This window comes from Homo sapiens, chromosome 4, assembly GCF_000001405.40.
Source record: "Homo sapiens chromosome 4, GRCh38.p14 Primary Assembly".
In the NCBI taxonomy this organism is placed as follows: Eukaryota; Metazoa; Chordata; class Mammalia; order Primates; family Hominidae; genus Homo; species Homo sapiens.
The window spans coordinates 55,345,963-55,365,034 of NC_000004.12; the positions used below are offsets into that span (position 1 = coordinate 55,345,963).

At 45.7% G+C, this 19,072-nt stretch overlaps 1 protein-coding gene and 1 pseudogene across 4 annotated transcripts in view, besides 5 other annotated features; one reads left to right on the forward strand and one right to left on the reverse strand.

Annotated features, from left to right (window-relative positions):
- Nucleotides 1-761: an enhancer, noted in NCBI's record as "H3K27ac hESC enhancer chr4:56212130-56212890 (GRCh37/hg19 assembly coordinates)". NCBI's record gives its function as "activates a minimal SCP1, AML or CMV promoter by ChIP-STARR-seq in naive H9 embryonic stem cells {active_cell/tissue: H9 hESC(naive)}" and the evidence as "EXISTENCE:reporter gene assay evidence [ECO:0000049][PMID:30033119]".
- Nucleotides 1-862: a biological region, named in NCBI's record as "H3K27ac hESC enhancer GRCh37_chr4:56212130-56212890".
- Nucleotides 213-382: a silencer, noted in NCBI's record as "silent region_15436". NCBI's record gives its function as "represses an Ori minimal core promoter by ATAC-STARR-seq in GM12878 lymphoblastoid cells {active_cell/tissue: GM12878}" and the evidence as "EXISTENCE:reporter gene assay evidence [ECO:0000049][PMID:35858748]".
- SRD5A3 (steroid 5 alpha-reductase 3) overlaps nt 280-19,072 on the forward strand; it is a 26,859-nt gene continuing 8,066 nt past the window's right edge. For 2 of the 4 annotated variants that reach the window (NM_024592.5, NM_001410732.1), the window contains exons 1-3: nt 280-595; nt 13,384-13,526; nt 18,112-18,309. In NM_024592.5, coding sequence (NP_078868.1) covers nt 375-595; nt 13,384-13,526; nt 18,112-18,309 — 562 coding nt within the window. In that variant the 5' untranslated portion in view covers nt 280-374. Of the gene's footprint in view, nt 596-5,115; nt 5,253-13,383; nt 13,527-18,111; nt 18,310-19,072 lie in introns of those variants that run through there. The other 2 variants (XM_017008601.2, XM_005265767.4) reach the window with 2 other exon arrangements.
- Nucleotides 593-862: a silencer, noted in NCBI's record as "silent region_15437". NCBI's record gives its function as "represses an Ori minimal core promoter by ATAC-STARR-seq in GM12878 lymphoblastoid cells {active_cell/tissue: GM12878}" and the evidence as "EXISTENCE:reporter gene assay evidence [ECO:0000049][PMID:35858748]".
- Nucleotides 5,484-6,476, reverse strand: FCF1P8 (FCF1 pseudogene 8; annotated as a pseudogene).
- Nucleotides 18,614-19,072: part of an enhancer, noted in NCBI's record as "NANOG-H3K27ac-H3K4me1 hESC enhancer chr4:56230743-56231431 (GRCh37/hg19 assembly coordinates)", that runs on past the window's edge. NCBI's record gives its function as "activates a minimal SCP1, AML or CMV promoter by ChIP-STARR-seq in naive H9 embryonic stem cells {active_cell/tissue: H9 hESC(naive)}" and the evidence as "EXISTENCE:reporter gene assay evidence [ECO:0000049][PMID:30033119]".

The following is a 19,072-nucleotide window of genomic DNA, read 5'->3' on the forward strand; positions in this document are numbered from 1 at the left end:
AGCTAAATAAACTAAAATGCAACATGTAAGGTTTCCATTTTTTGCTTTGGAGATAATGTTGATAAGAGTGGCAGACACGTGGTCTCGTCTGTTTTGCGTCTTTGCTTCTGATGAATCATATTCTGGAGCTCCATCTAAGAATCCCCATGCCCAGATTAGGGACTGCGAGCGACCACCCAGCGCCAGCGCGACCAGGACCAAGGACCTCCGCGGCTGAGCGGCGAGTCCGGGAGGGGCTCTGCGCGTCCCCGCCCCGCGCCGCGTCACCGACGTCCCGCTAGGCTGAGACCGGTGCGCCGCGCGCTAGTGGCCGCTCTTCCGCGGGCTAGCGGGCGGTGGGGGCGCCAGCAGCGCGGAAGGCGGGCACGCGGGCCATGGCTCCCTGGGCGGAGGCCGAGCACTCGGCGCTGAACCCGCTGCGCGCGGTGTGGCTCACGCTGACCGCCGCCTTCCTGCTGACCCTACTGCTGCAGCTCCTGCCGCCCGGCCTGCTCCCGGGCTGCGCGATCTTCCAGGACCTGATCCGCTATGGGAAAACCAAGTGTGGGGAGCCGTCGCGCCCCGCCGCCTGCCGAGCCTTTGATGTCCCCAAGAGGTAACCGCGCCCCGGTCCCGAGCCGCGGTGGTCAAGGCGCTGAGAGTTCGGGGCGCCCCGGCTCGCGGGCAGCCAGCAGGGGGCAGCAGAGGCGGGACCCGGCCTGGGAGGCCCTGGCGGGTTCCCGGGCGCAGCACGGCGCTCCCTCGGCCTGGCCCCGGCCATGCCCCGGCTGCTGCGTGGCTCCGGGGAGCAGTGCCCGGGTGTCCGCGGACGCCGAGGGAGAGCGGAGCCGCTTGCACTCAGCTGGAGGAATGTGAACTGGTAGCCGCACGGAGCCTTTCCCTGTGGGAAATGGCAACGCATCCGAATTTAGGCCTGGTCATGCGAATTTAGGCGGCAAATTGAAGTGCCCCTTGCCCCAAATTCTCCTTTTTCCCGTACCCTGCACTCCAGTGGCTCATACTCTAACTTGAGGTCACCGGGAATCATTTGTGGAAATGAAGTTAGGCCGGCTCTTCGGCCTCGGCTTCCCCCGTTTCTCTTCCCAACCCTTGCAGTGGGGACAAAGGACTGAGTCGCCCTAACCTGCACCTTGGCAGGTGCCCCTGGGGAAGGTGGCCCAAGGTGCAGGTCATAGGCAGGCCCGTCCCGAAGCTCCATTTGACTTTCGAAAAATTCTGTAACCCAGTTCAGCGAAGGATTAAATCGTCAGGTTTTAAATAGAGACCTGTTATAATTTTCTTCTTCTCCTTTTTCCACTTTAAATTCAGGACATAGCTGGAAAGAGTTGGCCAAATACTATTCGAGATGGTAGAAATAGAACAGTGCCCCTTAAGATGCATCTTAGGCCGGGCGCAGTGGCTCACGCCTGTAATCCCAGCACTTTAGGAGGCTGAGGCAGGCGGATCGCTTGAGTTCAGGAGTTCGAGACCAGGCTGGGAAATATAGTGAGACTCCGTCTCTCCTGAAAATACAAAAAATTGGCAGGGCTTGGTGGCGTGTGCCTGTAGTGCCAGCTACTTGGAATGAAGGCAGGAAGATCATCTGAGATCAGGCATTGGAGACTGCAGTGGGCTATAATCATGGCACTGCACTCTAGCCTGGGCAACAGAGAAATACCTTGTATTTAAAAAAAATTTTTTTTTAAAGGTTAAAAACATCTGGGTTGTCGCTTGAAACACTCATAGGCAGTGCCCCAGGTCCGCAGGCAACAAAGGGACAAGTATAATTTGGCTTCTAAAACTTGGATAATCTGCGAATTTTGACTGTCAGAGAAAGATGTGTCATGTGTTAACACAGAGAAGGGAGAACTAGGTCATTCTGAGGCACCCTAAAGGGAAGAAGTAGAAGTACATGAAACAAATTGATCAAACCTCCTGTTTCCTAGAGGCTCTTTTTAAGCAAAAATTACCTGTTATCCCATTTGTAATCAGGGTTGAATCCTTTTATACTTCACAGCAATTTATTTTCTGAGTTTTGAGAAAGGTACTAGTCTAGTGTACCTGGATTAAATGGCACATGTAAAATCATCCCCTGAACTTGCATACACCCCAGCTGTTGCAACTCAAGTCTGTTATTACATGACAGCCAAGAAAGAGACTTGGTACCTTTTCCTTATTCATTACTGTAACAGTTGGTTCTGTTTGGACTTCCTGTAATTTCTACTCTATTGTGAAATAATTTACACCTTTTTCTTCTTCCAGAATTCTACAGTAGAACCTCCCATAGTGTTCAAGTGCCCTTCCCCTCCTTCTCTAAATTTAAACAGACATTTCTTTTAGTACTGGAGAAGGTACAAAACATCCAGACCAATAATGAAAGGCATTTTTATTGTGACAAAAAAAAGATAACTTGCATCAAAACTGGCAGTGTCTCCAAAAAATTAATACATGTATTACTCTCTTTTTAAATTTTATACCCCTGTTTATATGAAATAGGCAGATAATTAGAGTTGGGTGGAGGTAAGAGTCTATGGCCTCTTTTTTATACGTCTCTGTATTTTCCAAAATGTCTTCATTCACAAGATGCTTATCACTTTTATCATTTAAAAAAATGTGCTAATGGCTAAGGAGCATGTGGGAGAGATTTTACTGGTTTATAAATAGTAACCACCATTGACTAAATGTTTACATATATGATTATGTGATGACTACTAAGGAGTACGTGCCTTTCCTCATTTAATCCTCACAGTGGACCTGTGAGGGAGATGTTATTGTCATTATTCCCATTTACACACATGCAGACTCAAGCTTAGAAGATAGCAGTTGTGCAGTGATGCTAGTACTAGCAAGGGTGGTACCTGAACCCTGCCTGTTGGAATTTAAATCCCAAGCTCTTATCCTCTGGTATACTTCGTGGGAAATATCTTGTACCATGTGAAGCTCAATCTGTGTGAAAGATTAAGTGAGAATGGATTTATCCCAGATGGTAGCATTTAGTAAATATCTTGGTTAATCCAAATTTAAAATCATTTGGTAACGTTAACCTTGATACTTATATGTGAATATTTTTCCTGTGCAAAATCTAGTAGTACTCTTTTGTTTTGTTTTTTTGAGATGGAGTCTCGCTCTGTCGCCCAGGCTGGAACGTAGTGGCTCAGTCTTAGCTCACTGCAACCTCTGCCTCCTGGGTTCAAGCAATTCTCCTCCCTCAGTCTCCTGAGTAGCTGGGACTAGAGGTGCACACCACCATGCCTGGCTAATTTTTGTATTTTTTAGTGGAGACGGGGTTTCAACATTTTGGCTAGGCTGGTCTTGAACTCGTGACCTCAAGTGATCCACCCACCTTGGCCTCCCAAAATGCTGGGATTACAGGCATGAGCCACTGCACCCGGCCCTCTAGCAGTACTCTTAAAAATGAAAATAAGTTCATAATTGCTACAGTTAGAAATAGGCAGTTGTAAATCCCATTTCTGCAAATAAGGCAGTATGTAGGTAATTTTGTTTGGGATTATTTTTTTCTTTCCTACGGAGGCAAGAGTAAAACCTGAAATTGGTTCTTGGAATGTTTGTTTCCATGACTCCTGTCTGGTAGATTTTTTTTTTTTTTAAATAAGGTGATGGTTGCTTTTTTTTGTTTTCCTTTTGGTTCCTAGAGTTTTGATTTCCCAGGAACTCTGAATAAACAGGTGACCTCGAACATGTATCATGATGCTCTGGGTTGCATAGTGAATGTAGAAGAACTTCTTAAATTTCAAAATGATTCCAAATGGTATCGAAGCTTTGGAATTGAATTGGGCTCTAGAGGCAAAAAGAGCTGCCCAGACTTTCCCCACTGAAGTCCAGGGAGCATTAACTGGAGGTTCAGAGGATCTGTGGATAGAATTCAGGGCAAACTTGGATTGAAAGAAAGTTATGTCTTTATTTTCACTAACCTCTAGCTGAAATTTAGCATTGCCTTAATTATGAATATAATCTACAAACTACGGTAGAATTAGCAGTATCTGTAACTCTGTGATAGTTTTTTTATATTACATTAAGAATATTGATGATACCTCAAAATATTACTGTTTTCCTTGTTATGAGAACACTGTAGTCTTTCATCACTAGATCTTGTTAGTAGACACATTAAGAAGTATACATATTACAGGCTGGGTGCAGTGGCTCACACCTGTAATCCCAGCACTTTGGGAGGCTGAGGCGGGTGGATCACCTGAGGTCCGGAGTTGGAGACCAGCCTGGCCGAAATGGTGAAACCCCATCTCTACTAAAAATACAAAAATTAGCTGGGCATGGTGGCGAGCACCGGTAATTCCAGCTACTTGGGAGGCTGAGGTAGGAGAATAGCTTGAACCTGGGAGGTGTAGGTTGAAGTGAGCCAAGATCGCGCCACTGCACTCCAGCCTGGGTGACAAGATTGAAACTCCTCTCAAAAAGAAAGAAATATACGTATTACTATATTGCAAATTTGTTTTTTAGTAGTTGCATTACTTGTATGTCACTATAATTGGTTTCCTTTGTAAGCCTGCTGCATTTTACTTTATGCTTGTATAATTTTTTTTTGTAAATTGACAGTTTATCATTGTATAAATTTATAGGTTACAAAGTGATGTCATAAATTGTGAATGCAATGTGGAATAATTAAATCAAGCTAGTTAACATATCCAATACTTCAAATACACTTCTGTGATGAGAACATCAATTTTGAAATGTATAACACTCTATTATTAAGTATATGCAACACACTGTATAACGTAAATCAAAAAAAGCATAAAACATATTCTTCCTGTCTGAGATTTCGTACCTTTTGACCATCATTAAATTTTTTTTTTTTTTTTTTTTTTGAGACAGTCTTACTCTGTCACCCAGGCTGGAATGCTGTGGTGCAGTCTCCGCTCACTGCAACTTCCACCTCCTGGGTTCAAGCGATTCTCCTGCCTCAGCACCCCCAGTAGCTGGGATTACAGGCATGTGACACCACACCCAGCTAATTTTTTTTGTTTTTTTAGTAGAGATGGGGTTTCGCCATGTTGTACAAGCTGGCCTGGAACTCCTGACCTCAGATGATCCGCCCACCTTGGCTTCCCAAAGTGTTGGGATTATAGGCGTGAGTCACCATGTGCCTGGCCTAAATTTTTTTTTTTTTTTCTTGAGACAGGGTTTCACTCTTGTTGCCCAGGCCAGAGTGCAATGGCGCAATATCGGCTCACTGCAACCTCCACCTCCCGGGTTCAAGCGATTCTCCTGCCTAAGCCCCCCAGCAGCAGGGAACACAGGTACGTGCCACCATGCCCGGCCAGTTTTTGCATTTTTAGTAGAAACGGAGTTTCACCATGTTGGCCAGGCTGGTCTTGAACTCCTGACCTCAGATGATCCACCCACCTCGGCCTCCCAAAGCGCCAGGACCACAGGCATGAGCCACCGTGTCTGGCCTGGCCTAACATTTTTATGAGACAAAATATCAATTTCAAAACAGCATCAAAAAGTGAGCAGGGCAAGCACAGTGGCTCACACCTGCAATCCCAGCACCGTGGGAGGCTGAGGCATATTTTTCTGTACTAAAAATACGTAAAATACAAAAAATACAAAAAAAAAAATTAGCTGGCCACTCGGGAGGCTGAGGCAGGACAATCGCCAGAACCTGTGAGGCAGAGGCTGCAGTGAGCCGAGACTGTGCCACTGCACTCCAGCCTGGGCAACAACAGCGAAACTTCATCTCAAAAAAAAAAAGGGGTGAGCATATTTAACCATCCTCAGCTCATAATAGAGCAAATAGGTCAACAGAATAATAATTCATGCTCTTGCATGTGTAATGAACTGGCAGCAAGAGAAAGCTGGTTGAAGAAAGGCAGAGGAACTGTGTCTTATGAGAATTAGAATCAAGGGGCTCCATAATCATCTGGCATTCATTCAATGTTGTATCTATGGTTAGAAATGTACATGACAGGAACTCCAGGAATCTTAGGGATTCTTCTTTTAAGGTCCTGGTCAACTGTGGCCACAATATAAAACTTATGCTGAATTACTCTCTGTACTAAGAGTCATCTGCTTAGGTTCCTTTGTGTGTACATGGTAATCCTTCAAATCTTGGATCCTTGGTGATCCTTAGAGCCACTCCATACTTCTGCTCCAATTTCTCAATTTCAGGCATTACACAATCAGTTATACAAGGAATACACTTGGTATACAGACAGTCCATCATTGACTGCACTAAGTCTGGTTTGGCTTTTATGGAAAAGTTGATAAAGGTTGGTATCAATGAGGATGTGGTAAGGTGGGCCCAGCTGTGTATTATATTGGAAAAATAAGCAGGTAGGGTGTTGGGGAATTTCTCTTTCCTTTAACACGCTGGGATCCTTCTTTTCTTTCTTTTTAGGTTTTAATTTATCCTTTTCTGTAAGCCTCTGATCCCTGAGACTAAGCATTCACTTCATGGTCGCATACTTCCTTGTTTTCTTTTGCTTCCCCATGGTCACACCACACTCCTGTGCTTGTATAATATTTTCAGAAGGGCTGTAGCCTTCACGAAACTGCCGAAGGGGTCCATGATGGAGAAATGGTGAGAACCCCTGCTCTAGACTGTAAACATTTCATGAGTTTATATTTGTCTTGTTTGCTACCATATCCCTAGCTTAACACCTGACTGGTAATAAGGACCTCGGTCAGTGTGTTTTGAATGAATGAGAAAAAGTGGTTTGAGGTTTAATTTGTTTGTTGATTAACTGGATGCCTACTCTGAGAGTAACTTTGGAAGAGATGCTTACCTTCTCTCATTCATTTATTTAACCAGTGTTTATAGATACCTACTGTGTGCCAGGAATCATTCTAGGCTCCTTAGAGCTTATCTTCTAGGAAGGCAGACAGTAACATGTCAATAAATATTGTAAAACCAGCCAGATAATTTCAGATGACTGTAAGTGCTTTAGAGGAAATCCAGCAGGGTTATTTGATCATGAGCAAGACTGAAGTGGGCGTGAGTGACAACATAGAAGGATGGATGGGGTGGGGGAAACAGTAGCTCGCCAGGGCCTTGCAGCCTATGCTAGAATTTGAATGTTATTTTGAGTGAGTGGAAGCTACTGAGGGCTTTGTGTGGGAGGGGGAGGCATTGCATTGTGTGATTTATGTTTTAAAGGATGATTGGCCATCATGTGGAAAAGACTGGATAAGAGGCTACTGTGGTGGTCCAGGCAAGAGATGGTGATGGTGTGCATTAGAGTATTAGCATAATAGTGAGAAGTGAAGCCAGCTGGACTTCCTGGGTGGAGTGGGGACTTAGGGAACTTTTCTGTCTAGCTAAAGGTTTGTAAATGCACCAATCAGCACTCTGTAAAAACACACAAATCAGCGCTCTGTGTCTAGCTAAAGGTTTGTAAACGTACCAATAGTACTCTGTAAAAATGCACCAATCAGCGCTCTGTGTCTAGCTAAAAGTTTGTAAATGCACCAATCAGCACTTGGTAAAAACGGACCAATCAGCACTCTGTAAAATGGACCAATCAGCACTCTGTAAAATGGACCAATCAGCAGGATGTGGGCGGGGCCAAATAAGGGAATAAAAGCTGGCCACCCGAGCCAGCAGCGCCAAGTCACTGGGGGTCCCCTTCTACCCTGTGGAGGCTGTATTCTTTTGCTCTTCACGGTAAGTCTTGCTGCTGCTCACTCTTTGGGTCTGCACTACCTTTATGAGCTGTAACACTCACTGCGAAGGTCTGCGGCTTCACTCCTGAAGTCAGCGAGACCACGAACCCACCTGGAGGAACAAACAACTCTGGAGGCGCCACCTTTAAGAGCTGTAACACTCACTGCCGAGGTCTGCGGCTTCACTCCTGAAGTCAAGCGCAACACAAACCCACTGGAAGGAAGAAACTCCAGACACATCTGAACATCTGAAGGAACAAACTCTGGACACACCATTTTTAAGAACCGTAACACTCACTGCGAGAGTCCACAGCTTCATTCTTGAAGTCAGCAAGACCAAGAACCCACCAGAAGGAACCAATTCTGGACACAATAGCACCTGCTGGTCTCATTGGTGGTGACATTAAAGCATTTAGCACAGGGCCAGGGATCTAGCCAGAACTCAGTAAACATTAATTCCCCTTCTTAACCCCATAACACCTGGGGCCTGGAGTCTGTTCCAGCAGTCAGCAAATAGTTTTTGTTTGTTTGTTTTGAGATGGAGTCTTGCTCTGTTGCCCAGGCTGGAGTGCAGTGGCGCAATGTGGGCTCACTGCAGCCTCCCATCTCCTGGGTTCAAGTGATTCTCGTGTCTCAGCCTCCCAAGGAGCTGGGACTACAGGGGTGTGCCACCATACCTGGCTAATTTTTGTATATTTAGTAGAGATGGGGTTTTACCATGTTGGCCAGGCTGGTCTTGAACTCCTGACCTCAGGTGATCTGCCCTCAGCCTTTCAGAGTGCCGGGATTACAGGCCTGACGCACCGCGCTCGGCCAGCAAATATGTATTAATATTAAAAATAGATTGTGTTTTAGGCCCCAAACCATAGAGTAGCTTCTAACTCACAGTAAAAGCCCAAGACCTCATGGTCTCATTCCCACTACCTTACTGACTTTGTCTCTAGTTTGCCCCATCTGGTTCTATTCCAGGTTTGAGGGCCTCTCTGCTAGTTCTCTCTCTTACCTGCACTGCCTGTTTCACTCTACCTGGAAAGGCCTTTCCCCAGATAGCCACATGGTTTATCCCCTCACTTGCTGTAATTCTACTCAAATATTACCTTCTCAGTGAGGCCCCTCCCTGTCTATTGTGTTTGATATTATAATTCTGCCATCCCAGCATTCCTCCTTCCTCTTTTCTGCATTAGTTTTCTCAGTAGCAGTTATCACCTGACATGCTATAAAATTTACTGTGTGTGTGTGCGCGCGTGCGTGCGCGCGTACGCATGTGTAAGCTCCATGAAGGCAGGAATTGTCTGTTGTGTTTGCTGTTGTATCCCCAGAGCCTGGAGCAGCTGTGATTTAAAGTAAGCACTCAAATGTTTGTTAAGCAAGGGAGTGCTCATTCAGCACCTTGTATTATCCTATAAGGATCACCTTACCCCTGCTTACAAGGGCTTGGACAACAGTGCTACAAGTAAGCAAAGTGCCAAAGGAGGAAAAAAGGAGAGTGTCCAAAACAGAACGCAGTGAAGATTTTAGATTGGCTTTTGGAGGCTCAAGCTGGGTCTTTAAAAACAAACAAGAGCTATGACTTGTTCTAAAGAATCGAAAATGTATAGGCCGGGTGCGGTGGCTCACGCCTGTAATCCCAGCACTTTGGGAGGCCGAGGCGGGTGGATCATGAGGTTAGGAGATCGAGACCATCCTGGCTAACACGGTGAAACCCCGTCTCTACTAAAAATACAAAAAATTAGCTGGGCGTGGTGGCGGGCGCCTATAGTTCCAGCTACTCGGGGGGCTGAGGCAGGAGAATGGCGTGAACCCAGGAGGAAGAGTTTGCAATGAACCAAGATCGTGCCACTGCACTCCAGCCTGGGCAACAGAGCGAGACTCCGTCTGAAAAAAAAAAAAAAGAATAGAAAATGTATAGAGGGAAATCAGGCAAGCAAAACAAAATGTGGGAATGAAAAGCAACACAATGTGCCTGTGAATGAAAGACACCATGACACAAGTAGAGCGCAGCACGGTGTAGCTTAGCAACTTACACAAAACCCACTTGAGTGATATGCTTGACTTTAGGCTTGATATAAATTGGTACGTGTAACATAAGGCTGGAAAAGCAAGTTCAGGCACGCCTAGGTTGCATGAAAGCACAATAGTATGATTTTAACTTCACAGTCAGCAGGGCTGTCACTTACTGTGTGACATTGAATAAGTAACTTAACCTCTCTGAGTCTTGGGTTTCTCATCTGCCACACAAAGATAACCACATAAGCTTCATAAGATTGTTATGAAGATGAACTAAATAATCTTAACTTTTGCCATGCTCTACCTGGCACCCCTTACCCGCACAACTAGACTGTTCTCTACCTCGTTACCAGAGGGATATTTTTTCACTTAAATAATAATGAAATATATGACCAATGCTTTCTTTTGCCTCCATTTTTTTTTTTTTTTTTTTTTTTTTTGATGCAAAGTCTTGCTCAGTCTTCGAGGCTGGAGTGCAGTGGTGCAATCTTGGCTCACTACAACCTCTGCCTCCTGGGTTTAAGCTATTCTCCTATCTCAGCCTCCCAAGTAGCTAGGATTACAGGCGTGTGCCAGCATGCCTGGCTAATTTTTGTATTTTTAGTAGAAACAGGGTTTCACCATGTTGGCCAGGCTGGTTTCGAACTCCCGACCTCAGGTAATCCGCCCACCTCAGCCTCCTAAAGTGCTGGGATTACAGGCCTGAGCCACTGCACCCGGCCTCTTTTGCTGCCTTTTAAAATGTTTTTATTGTGGTAAAATACACGTAACTTAAATTTTACCTTTTTAATGTTTTTTAAATAGTTAAGTAGCTTTAAATACATTCATCTTGTTATCCAACTATCACCACCACCTATCTCCAGAACTTGTCCATCAGCCAGAGAGATTTTTAGGGTTTTGTTTGTTTGTTTGTTTTGAGACAGAATCTCGCTTTGTCACCCAGGCTGGAGTGCTGTGGCGGCATGATCACCACTTACTGCAGCCTCAGCCTGAGCCTCCCGAGTAGCTGGAACTACAGGCATGCATCATCACACCCAGCTAATTTTTTTATTTCTTTTCTTTTCTTTTTTAGTAGAGATGGGGCCTCATTATGTTGCTCAGGCTAGAGGGATTTTTTATTTATTTATTTATTTATTTATTTGAGATGGAGTCTCGCTCTGTTGCCCAGGCTGGAGTGCAATGGCGCGATCTTGGCTCACTGCAACCTCCGCCTCCTGGGTAGCCTAGAGGGATTTTTAAAACATAAATTACTACCTCACGTCACTCATCTGCCCAAATGGCTCCCCATTATAAAAGCTAGTGGCCTTACAAGGCTTCATGTCCTCTCCCCACTCCTGCCTCACCTTCTACCCTCGCCCTTGGCCATGCCAATGTACAGATGTCTTTTAATGTTCCTTGAACACCCCTAGTATACACCCACCTCATTGCCTTTGCAGTTGTTATTTCTTCTGCCTAGAAAGTTCTTCCCCTAGAAATCCACAGGGATGACTCATTCTAGCCAAATGTTACTTCCAGAGAAGCCACCCTTGACCATCCATCCAGAACAGCCTCCCCTCTGCACCCTCTGTCCCCTGACCCAGCATTATGCTAGATGTCTGCAGGTTTAGTTGTTGACCGTCTGACTCCCCACTCTAAGGTAAACTCCCATTAAGGCGGAGACCTAGTCTGTTTACTCCCTGCTGAGTCCCCAGCTTCTAGAATATTGCCCAACACATTCGAAGTGCTCAGTAAATATTTGTGAAAAAATTAAGTACGTAAAGTGGCTGGTCCAGAAATTGTCCTTCAGAAGCTATCCCTCCTGCCTTTTCCTGGGAGCCTGCAGAACAGCATGTTCTTGACCTTCCACTGTGCTCCACGAGGCTCAGACCATAACCTGGGGTCAGTTGTGGGAAGTGTGTCTTAAGGAAGACCCTGTGGTATAACCAAAGATCAGTAGCCACAGGTGGCGATTGGCCTTGATGCATGAACTTCTGTGAAAAGTAGGCTCTTGAAGCCTGGAGAAGATCCCAATTGGGAATCACAGGATGGCTCTCTTCAAATAGTTTAAGAGATGTTGTGTGGAATTAAAATTCTTGTTCTGTGTGGCCAGAGATGGCAAATCCAGTGATAGAATTTTATTTATTTATTTATTTGTTAAGACACAGGGTCTTGCTCTATTGCCCAGGCTGGAGTTGCAGAGGCAGAATCATAGCTCACTATAACCTCAAACTCCTGGCCTCAAGGGATCCTCTCACCTTGGCCTCCCAAAGCCCTGGGATTACAGGCATGCATCACCATGCCTGGCCAGTGATAGAATTTGCTAACAGTAATTGGCAGAGTGGAGTGGGTTGCCATGGAATGATCAGGTTGGATCAGAGTTTATCAGACTGAGTTTGTAGGCATGATCTCAGGGGCTGTGCATTCTCTTACAAGCACATTCTGGATCATCTGGAGGAGCCCCTGCGATTATGTTTAATCCTCTTTTGGCTCTAGGTTGTCTTTTATTGTCACAGACTAATGAGAAAAAGAAAAGAAGGAGTGGGATTTAATATATGCACGATGCATTGAAGACCAGGGAAAGCCAGATGACCGCCAGGCACTCAATAGAGTCAGAAAGGTTTCAGACTGAATAGAAAAAAATAGAAAAGTATACATAAACAGACCTCAAAAGAACCTATGAGGGGCTGGACATGGTGGCTCACACCTGTAATCTCAGCACTTTGGGAAGCCAAGGTGGGAGGGATCTCTTGAGCCCAGGAGTTTGAGACCAGCCTGGGCAGCATAGGGAGATCACATCTCTATAAAAAGTTTAAGAATTAGCCAGGCATGGTGGACTACTACAAGCCTGTGGTCCCAGCTACTTGGAAAGCTGCGGTGCGAGGATCACTTGAGCCTGGGAGGTCAATGTTGCAGTGAGTGGTGATCACAACACTGCACTCCAGCCTGGACAACACAGCAAGACCCTGTCTCAAAAAAAAAAAAAAAAAAAAAAGAAGAAGAAGAACCTGCTAGGCCCTAGGCCCTTGTGCCATATTAGGTGATTTTTTTTGTTTCAGCAAATCAACATCATCTTTTGCATTAAATTAACATCGCTAATTTCAATTGCATTGGTTTTGTGGTCCTATTTGTATTTAGTTTGTAGATGTGTTGATTGCAAAATAGGCCCTGTAGTTGTCTGAGAATTATAACCATAAGGAGTTAATACCTAGTTTTATGATTGTAGTATTAGTCATGTTATAATAAAAGTAATTTAGGTCAACCCAATTTGGAAAAACACTGAGTCATGCCTGAAGATCTTTTACTTCCTCTAGCCCCAAGTGTCTGCGATTATGCAAATCATGTGTAACAGTTGTGTGGCTATTACTGCAATATTGTTTGGGATATAGAAATCAAAATCTTTCACAGATTTAGCTTGTTTTAGCACAGTCTAGGTTCTCTTTGCAAGGGCCTGCAGCCTCCGTTTTGGGAACTTGAGTCCAATTCTGTTACCCAGCAATCAGAGAGATTGCTAACTAAACTTTATTCTAAGTTTAACACAGTTGGTTGTGTTCTTGTTAACCTCAGAGAGGCCTCTTTTTCCTGAAAGTTAACTGGTCCCGTTATTTGAAAGGAAATTTTAAGAACCTGAACACCTATAGGATTCAGATTCTATTAAAAAGCAAAGGTATACTTTGGGAATGGAGGGGTGGGGAAAGACAGAGAAACTAAAAATAATCTTCCCGTATAAGAGCTTGAAGTGGATCTACCCTAATTATTGCCTCGCTTGTTTTCCTTTTGCAGATATTTTTCCCACTTTTATATCATCTCAGTGCTGTGGAATGGCTTCCTGCTTTGGTGCCTTACTCAATCTCTGTTCCTGGGAGCACCTTTTCCAAGCTGGCTTCATGGTTTGCTCAGAATTCTCGGGGCGGCACAGTTCCAGGGTAAGGACTCCCTGGGCTTATGACAACGCTGCATCCCGTTTCTGTTGTTCCTGTCTGCAAGGGAGCAGTTTTTGGCATTTTGTCTCCTCTCTCGGCACCTCCTCAGAAGGGCCTGGGAAGTGGAGGATGAGGGCAAAAAAGAGCTTTGCACGGTTCATTGCCGGATGGCCAAAAGGATGTCCCTAAGCCCTTCCCTGAGAAGGAGACAGAGCCAAGAGTTAGCGCTCCTGACTTCCCAGCAAGTGCTGTGTTGTGTGCAGAACTGGCTGCCCTCCCTCTGGTATTTTTAGTACTGTTGATAAATTTATGAAGAAGTCTTTACACAAAAGGGGGAAAGCTTTTAGGATCTGTCAGGTTTGTCTGGAAACATTTATCATTTATACTGTTCCAACCAAACTCATGACTTAGAACTCCAGAAATGTGATTTAAAAATTACTTTTTCTGTCGGGTGCGGTGGCTCACGCCTGTAATCCCAGCACTTTGGGAGGCCAAGGCGGGCAGATCACAAGGTCAGGAGATCGAGACCATCCTGGCTAACACGGTGAAACCCTGTCTCTACTAAAAATACAAAAAAAAGTTAGCTGGGCATGGTGGCGGGCACCTGTAGCCCCAGCTACTCGGGAGGCTGAGGCAGGAGAATGGCATGAACCCGAGAGGCGGAGCTTGCAGTGAGCTGAGATCGGGCCACTGCACTCCAGCCTGGGCAACAGAGCGAGACTGTGTTTCAAAAAAAAAAAAAATTACTTTTTAATTCATACCTGTAATCCCAGCACTTTGGGAGGCCAAGGCAGGCAGATCACTTGAGATCAGGAGTTCAAGACCAGCCTGGCCAATGTGGTGAAACCCCAACTCTACTAAAAATACAAAAATAGCTGGGTGTGGTGGCAGGCGCTTGTAATCCCAGCTACTCGGGAGGCTGAGGCAGGAGAATCGCTTGAACCTGGGAGGCGGAGGTTGCCATGAGCTAAGATTGAGCTACTGCACTCCACGCCTGGGCAACAGAGGGAGACTTTGTCTCAAAAAAATAAATAAATAAATGAATAAAATAAATAAAAATTACTTTTTGATAAACATGGAAAAAAAGTTATGCTGTGAGGCTTTGGTAGTATAATAAAATTGACTAAACAGTTGTTGAACAGACGATTACAAAATAGCCTTTAAGTTTGCCATCCTCAGCATCAGGATGAAGAATATGGAACGTTTTTTTTTTTTTTTCTGAGATGGAGTTTCGCTCTTATTGCCCGGGCTGGAGTGCAATGGTGCAATCTTGGCTCACTGCAACCTCTGCCTCCCAGGTTCAAGCGATTCTCCTGCCTCAGCCTCCCAAGTAGCTGGGATTACAGCCATGTGCCACCACGCCCAGCTAATTTTGTATTTTTGGTAGAGAGATGGTGTTTCTCCATGTTGGTCAGGCTGGTCTCGAATTCCTGACCTCAGGTGATCCACCCGCATTGGCCTCCCAAAGCGCTGGGATTACAGGTGTGAGCCACCGCGCCCGGCCAGAACAGTTTTTAAAATAAAGAATTGAAGGTGAAAACTATGAAATGTCCTCAATTAAGGTCAGGCAGAGTGTGAGGGGCAGAATTAGAAACAAATTGTTCTAGTCTCATCTCTGTCCTTTGTTCCAGTGGCCAAACCACCTAGAAACAATCCTTTTCTGTATAACCAGATAAACTGGTTGCAAAAGATGACAATCAGAAGAGCAAACCCCGGCCGGGTGTGGTGGTTCATGCCTCTCATCCCAGCACTTCAGGAGGCTGAGGTGAGCAGATCACTTGAGGTCAAGAATTCAAGACCACCTTGGCCAACATGGTGAAATCCCGTTTTTACTAAAAATACAAAACTTAGCTGGGTGTGCTGGCACATGCCTGTAACCCCAGCTACTCGGTAGGCTGAGGAGAGAGAATTGCTTGAACCCAAGAGGCAGAGGTTGCAGTGAGCCAAGATTGTAACGTTGCACTCTAGCCTAAGAGGACAGAGCAAGACTCCGTCTCAAAAAAAAAAAAAAAAAAAAGAGCAAACCCTGCCGGGAACAGTGGGCAGTGACTCATACCTATAACCCCAGCACTTTGGGAGGCTGAAGCAGGTGGATCACTTGAGGTCAGGAGTTCAAGACCAGCCTGGCCAACATGGTGAAACCCCCGTCTCTACTAAAAATACAAAAAATTAGCGGGACGTGGTGGCGCGTGCCTGTAATCCCACTTACTCAGGAGGCTGAGGCAGGAGAATGGCTTGAACCCAGGAAGCAAAGGTTGCAGTAAGCTGAGATCATGCCACTGCACTCCAGCCTGTGCCACAGAGTGAGACTCCATCTAAAAAAAAAGAGCAAACCCGTGGACATCCTCTTTGGAAGGGTAGGCTACATCAGCGGATCTCACTCCACTCGTTAAAACTTCATCTCTTCGTTTGTTTACTGTGAGACTGACTGGGGTGTTTTGGTATTTGGAGGGTTGGTTGTGAGGATATGAGGAATTCTATTTGTTTGCTTTAACTTGTTCCTAAGGAGTTAAAACTAAGTTTTAGTTCATTTAAAATACAAAAACAGTCAAAGCTAATCTGTGCTGATAGGGGTTGTTCCCCATGGGAAGTTTGGGGGAGGGGTCGTGCCTACACTAGGGGGTGCTGTTCGTGTTCTGTTTCTTCTTTTTTTTTTTTTTGAGATGGAGCCTTGCTCTGTTGCCCAGGCTGGAGTGCAGTGGCCTGATCTCAGCTCACCACAACCTACCCCTCCCGGGTTCAAGCGATTCTCCTGCCTCAGCCTCCTGAGTAGCTGGGACTACAGGCATGCGCCACCATGCCCGGCTAATTTTTGTATTTTTAGTAGAGACAGGGTTTCACTCTGTTGGCCAGGCTGGTCTTGAACTCCTGACCTTGTGATCCGCCTGCCTCAGCCTCTCAAAGTGCTGGGATTACAGGCATGAGCCACCGCATCCAGCCTGTTTCTTTTGTTTGTTTCATTTTTTTCTTTCTTTTTCTTTTTTTAAGAGAGAGGGTCTCACTCTGTTGTACAGGCTGGAGTGCCGTGGCATGATCATAGCTCACTGCAGCCTTTAACTCCTGGGCTCGAGCAGTCCTCCCTCCTCCACCTCTTGAGTAGTTGGGACTACAGGTGCACGCCACTATGCCCAGCTAATTTTTTTTTTAATGTTTTTAGAGATGGGGTACCTGCTGTGTTGCCCAGGCTGGTCTCAAACTCCTGGTCTCAAGCGATCCTCCAACCTCAGCTTCCTAAAGTGTTCTGTTTCTGGATCTGGGTGCTGTTACATGGGTGGGATTGGTTGGCTTAATTTGTAAAAGTTAATTAAGTTGCATCTTTATGGTGTGCATGCGTGTGTGTGTGTTTGTGTGTGAGACTTTTTTTTTTTTTTTTTTAATGGAGACAGAGTCTTGCTCTATCTCCCAGGCTGATTGCAGTGGCCCAATCTTGGCTCACTGCAACCTCCACCTCCCAGGTTCAAGCAGTTCTACTACCTCAGCCTGCCAAGTAGCTGGTTCTACAGGCGCACACCACCATGCCTGGCTAATTTTTTGTATTTTTAGTAGAGACAGGGTTTCACCATGTTGCCCAGGCTGGTCTCGAACTCCTGAGCTCAGGCAATCCACCCGCCTCCAACTCCCAAAGTGGTAGGATTACAGGCATGAGCCATCGCCCCCGGCCGTGACTCATTTCTTTTTTAAGTGACTGGGCGTGGTATCTCACACCTAAAATCCCAGCACTTTGGGAGGCTGAGGCTGGAGGATGGCTTGAGGCCCGGAGTTCGAGACCAGCCTGGGCAACAAAAAAAATTTTTTTTTAATTAGTCAGGTGTGGTGGCACATGACTATAGTTCTAGCCACTCAGGAAGCTGAGACAGAGGATCACTTGAGCTCAGGAGTTCAAAGCTGCAGTGAGGCCTGACTGTGCCACTGCACTCTAGCCTGGGTGACAGAGCAAGACCCTGTCTCAAAAATAAAGAAGTTGACACATAAAATTAACCAAAAAATAAAAAACAAAAAAGAAAAAAAGAGAAACTAAGTGTGTGTTTTTTTAAAGCCAGCTTTTCTTCAGATTTTTTGGTGGGCAGGTCGTGAAAGACAGGTGAGGAAGTAGATCTTGGGCTCAGCATGCCTCTAAAAGTATAATTTCTTTTTTTTAATGTGGAAAGAAATGCATAACTCTGTTTCTGTTCCTGTCCCCCTCTCTGCCTCTGTGATGCCTGAGATACTGGGGATCCCACAGCTGGGGCCACTCAGAGGCTACCAGGAACGCTTCCAGTTTGCATCTGGCTGTTAGTGCCAGGACCAGAAACCCACAGACCTCTTCACAGACCTCCTGACCGTGATGTCCCTGAAGCCTGGAAGGCTGTCACACAATGAAGCAGAATTGAGTGATGGGTGTTTGTGAACCCAGTGAACTGTGTAACACAGTGAACTGTGTAATTTGAGTGAAGTCAAATTCCTTGACTTCATTTGGCCCATTTCTTCCTTACTACCAAAAAGAAAGATGTTAGATGGGATTTAATACTTTGCTTAACAGTACAGAAAAACAAAACTTTGGATTAATCCCAGAAGAGAAATGCTGACCCTGTTGCCTTCTGAATTGTAGGAGGGGAGCTGGCACTGTCTGCATTCTTAGTGCTAGTATTTCTGTGGCTGCACAGCTTACGAAGACTCTTCGAGTGCCTCTACGTCAGTGTCTTCTCCAATGTCATGATTCACGTCGTGCAGTACTGTTTTGGACTTGTCTATTATGTCCTTGTTGGCCTAACTGTGCTGAGCCAAGTGCCAATGGATGGCAGGAATGGTGAGTGGATCCAGCCCTGCCAGGAGCTCCCCACCCCAGGGTGTATGATGCGCTCTCGGGGCTTGTGCTGTGCTAAGCATTATGAGACATGCAGAAGTAAGAGACAGGCCCAATGCATTTTGCATTTCAGGAGATGAGACTCAAGTCGATTTTAAAAGGCCGGGCGTGGTCGCTTACACCTGTAATCCCACCACTTTGGGAGGCTGAGGCAGGTGGATCACTTGAGGCCAGGAGTTCGAGACCAGCCTGGCCAACATGGTGAAACTCTGTCTCTACTAAAAATTAAAAAAAAAAATTAGCCAGGCGTGGTGGCACACGCCTGTAGTCCCAGCTACTGGGGAGGCTGAGGCAGGAGAATTGCTTGAAACCAGAAGGTGGAGGTTGCAGTGAGCCGAGATCGCGCTACTGCACTCCAGCCTGGGCAACAGAGCGAGACTCCATCTCAAAAAAAAAGAAAAGAAAATGAGGGAAGGGAGAGTGCTTGCATGGAGTTGGGATTTGCAGAGGGGGTGGGGAGCCATTTTGTTGCCGCTTAGTTCCTGTGATTGTTCCCATCACAATAGAGCTTTTCTTCAAGTGACGCTGCCTGAGAGGAGAGGACAAAGAGTACTGTGGTAGTGAAAATTGTGTTTTAGTCTCTAAGCTCTCACTAGCCAGGAAGAGGGGAGCCAAACCATGACCTTGTTTACGAGAAGGAAATGAAATGGATTTTTTGTTTTATGGGGGGAGGAGGGGACATTACCTAACACATATGACTACCATT